Source organism: Homo sapiens, chromosome 1 (assembly GCF_000001405.40).
Source record: "Homo sapiens chromosome 1, GRCh38.p14 Primary Assembly".
NCBI lineage: Eukaryota > Metazoa > Chordata > Mammalia > Primates > Hominidae > Homo > Homo sapiens.
In genome coordinates, this window is record NC_000001.11 from 5,387,561 (window position 1) to 5,391,431 (window position 3,871).

The window sequence follows — 3,871 nt, forward strand, 5'->3', positions numbered from 1 at the left end:
CCTGTGTGTCTGTCCCTGCATGTGTATGTGTATCTCTGTGTCTGTGTGTGTGTGTCTGTGTGTGTGTCTGTGTGTGTCTTTGTGTCTGTCTCTATGTCTGTGTGTGTGTCTCTATGTGTTTATCTTTGTGTATTTGTGTGTGTCTCTGTGTGTCTGTCTGTCTCTGTGTCTGTGTGTATGTCTCTGTTTCTTGTCTCTGTTTGTATCTCTGTGTGTGTCTCTGTGTCACTTTAACTTGATTATATCTGCAATTTCCAAATAAGTTGCCATGCACCGGTACTGGCAGTTAGGACTTCAATGCACCCATAACAGACTCAAATCCGAGTGCTAGGAGTTTGGAAATAAATTCTAACACATTCTGCTCTTGGAAACTCACAAAGCTCACAGGGCTCTGGGAAGTTCTAAGTCCTGCTCAATTTCGTTTTCTCCAGAGAACCCCCAAACATGTCGGTAGTTTGGTCCTTCTTCCCGTGACACCCCTGGATCCCCGGAAGAGCTCAAGGCACCCGATGTGCTGGTGCCCTTGACTCTATGGAAGGAGAGGAGCGAGGCTTCGGAGGCCAGGAGGGTTCTTGGAACAAGGAAAAGACAGGAACGTGGATATTTAGGCACAGACATGCGGAGGACTCCCCTCCCTTCCTCAGCCAGGAGCCTAAAACACTTGTTCTGCTCACTCTCTCTTTGCCAGAGAAGCTCTGAAGCCAACGGCTTTGGTCAACAACCCAGCCACGGCCACTTTGGGATTTTTGCTGATAAATCCAGCACTTCTAGGAAACCAGCAAACTCCTAAGGAAAATACAGAAGCCCAGAGCCAGCTTCCCCGGCCTGGCTAAATGGTTCTCCCAAAATGGAGTCTTTTCTGATGGCACTTCCTCACAAGTTGGGCAATCCGTCATTTCTTTGCTGTGATCTCACCTGTGAATGCTCCCTGGAGCCCATTTCTGCAGATCCACAGATCAACAGATGGACCAGCACCTCCAGTGCGGCACTGGCTCCTTGGAAGATTTACTGGAGCTCCAGGAGGAGAGCCATCAAGCCAAAGAATTACCCACTGAGTTAGTAAGATGGCTTCTTAAAGAGAGGTGTCTGTTTAATGCATCTTCCCCCAATGCATTCCATCCCGTCCTTGCAGAACGGATTAGTGTTTCTCGGCGATCCTACAGGCTCCCCAGGGACAGGCTTCAAGGGAATGGAGGAAGGATCGCTCCCTTCTCCTGGTCATCAGTCTGCACCTTCAGCTGAGGAGGCTGGCGTCATCCTGCAGGCATGGGGAGGACATGTAAGGAGGGGAAGTGATGATTAGAGGAGGTGGCTGCTCATTCCCTTGAATCATGCTGTAAGCCTTCTAAAGCAATTTTCTTAAGTTTGGTGTAAAATTTTGATGGAAAAATACCTGCTCCCTGGTATTTTTCTTCTCAACTCTCTCTCAAGAACTTTCTAGTTATTTCCAAAGCCAATGCCTTTCAGACATAGAGAAGATAGTCTCTCGGTAGAAGCTGTTTTTTTATTACCTGCTATTTCAGATATTTTTCCCTTCTCTCTTGCTTTGCCTCAAAGACAGGAAATGGGTTTTGTTGTTGGGTGGGGTTTTTGGTTTGGTTTTTTTAAACCCATCTTTTTACAATGTAGCTTTCATCTGTGACTCATATCTTGTGGCCAAAAAGGTGGCTAAAGGAATGAAGAGTACTTCTTTTCAAAGAAAAGGAAATTAAAATGAACTACAGACTGGAAGAGCGGTGTGTACGGTCTAGAATCCCCAGAGCGGCAGGGAGAGGACATGCTGGCATTGCCAACCAGCACACGCGTGAAGTCCTCGCTGTCCCCTGGCCCACAGGATGTGGGGGCTGCGAACAAAGTGTTTGTGAAAAGGGACCCTCCACCCTCTTCAGCATGCAGATGTGTTCACAAAGAGCTCCGTTCCTAACCGTCACCCACCAGGCACAGATCGTGTGTAACAGCTCCCGAACTTACTGTCAATTGAATAAAAGACCACTATTTTAGGAAATGTCAGTATTTCTCCAAAAAATAAATAAAAGCCCCTTGTTGTGAGCAGCTCTGATTTCAGGCAATCTGACTGGCAAACCGGTGCTTCGGGACACACAGAGCTAGTTCCTTTAATGGCCCAGTCACGCACACCCAGAATTCTGAGTTGGCTGAATGGGATCAGTCATCCCTGGACGCCATGTGGAAGTTGGGTCTGTGGAGCTCATGCTCGTTGGCTCACAAGTTCACTGCATGGATGCCTTGGTCAGGATGAACTTGGAGGCTTGGTGGCTCTGAACTGAGGAGGGACCCTGGGTTCCTCTCTGCTGCAATTCTAGTATGGATAATGGTGATGAGAACATGGCAAGCATGGGGAAATGGTGGCTGCTCACACCTGCCAGTGTAGGGACTGCCTTGGGCTCACTGTCCAGGGTTACAGATTCCCCCACTTCCACTGGGTCAAGCCAGTCCAGCCTGAAGACCCTACTGGAGCCCAACACTTTAACCTGAAGTTGGGACATGGTGACAACCCTGGTGGCCCCTCCTTGGGGTGGGATGAGACCTATTTCCTGCCCCGCCCCCCGCTGGGTTAGAGGATCCCCCACAGCCACAGCCCTGCCTCCGCACTGTGCTCTGGCTACGATGTCCCAGCGAATGTCCTGCTCAACTCCAGAAATCCCCAGGGAATGACGAAGGCTCCTGGACACAGAGGCTTTGTCTGGAGCTGTCACCCTTTGGGTGTGGTGGGGGTAGCCAGACATTACTAAGCATCTAGGAAAAGGCAATCATCTAAAATCAGAAAAGAACCCCTCTTTTCAGAAGTCAAAATTTTTGCAAGCCAGGACTGTATTTCCCAAAAGCACAATTCAACAAATGGTTTGATATCAACTCTTATGTATATCAGCAACTCCAGAAAATAGGTCTTGGACCCTCAGTTGCAGATCTCTGAGTGTGTGCTAATTTTGGTGGGGGTTGGTAACATGATAGATCCTGAAGTTGAAATTACTCCAGATCACTTGGGGTCCAGAGCCAGGGAGCTAGGTCTTTCACTCCCGTCTCTCAGTGAAGCATTTGCAGTGGGTTCCTCTGCTCATGTCTTAAATGTGCAAGAATCAGACATATGGGAATGACTCAGCTCAGCCCCGACCCCAAGCACCTGAGGCCCGGCAGCTGCCCTGGAGGAGTGATTCTGTGATTAGCAGAAGAAAGCTGATGTGCCGCTTCTGGCTGTGGGTGACTATGCTGGGCTCAGGCAATTGTAGACAGCTGGAAGAAAATATGTTTCCCTACCCTGGGCAGGAAAGACTCTGGAAGCCTCCTTGCAGGGACGCCGCAGCCGTGTGTTGGTTCTGACTGGTACTGGGGTGGGAGGGAGACGCCTGGATCAGGGGCTTCAAGCCATTCTTCTCCTTCAAGGCAAACAGACAGACGCTTGACGGCAGGGCACCCTCTGGGCTGGGCAGCCTCAAATTTAGGTCCGGGGCGGGACTGTTTTGAGAAGCAGGATCCTGCAGAGGCATGGAGGAGGGGTATGTGATGGGATGGGGTGGGTTCCCTGCGAGGATGCGGAGGGGTGCTGCTTCATCATGCACCTGCGCGGGGCTCAGGGGAGCAGTGCTGATTGAATCTGGCCGTGGTGCTCCCTCTTTGCTAGGAAATGCACAGCTCTGAGCTTTATTTAGCAATGGACCATTGTGCAGAGATAAAGAGCGTGCCAGACACATCAGTGCAATGGTGTCTCCTTCGCTGGCCACAGGGAACAAGCCCCTGATAAGCCGATCAGTCTTCTGATGGTGACTCCCTGTATCCTCAGCAACGGAGCCAGACACCTAGGTTATCATGCTTCTTCCCCTTGAGGCAGCGTGAGGGCGACATCCTCAGCCTCCGT

The 3,871-nt window shown here is 50.3% G+C and overlaps 1 annotated feature.

Annotated features, from left to right (window-relative positions):
- Nucleotides 894–2,093: an enhancer, noted in NCBI's record as "CDK7 strongly-dependent group 2 enhancer chr1:5448514-5449713 (GRCh37/hg19 assembly coordinates)". NCBI's record gives its function as "activates an origin of replication core promoter dependent on BRD2, BRD4, P300/CBP, MED14 and CDK7 cofactors, with strong dependence on CDK7, by STARR-seq in HCT116 cells {active_cell/tissue: HCT116}" and the evidence as "EXISTENCE:reporter gene assay evidence [ECO:0000049][PMID:35650434]".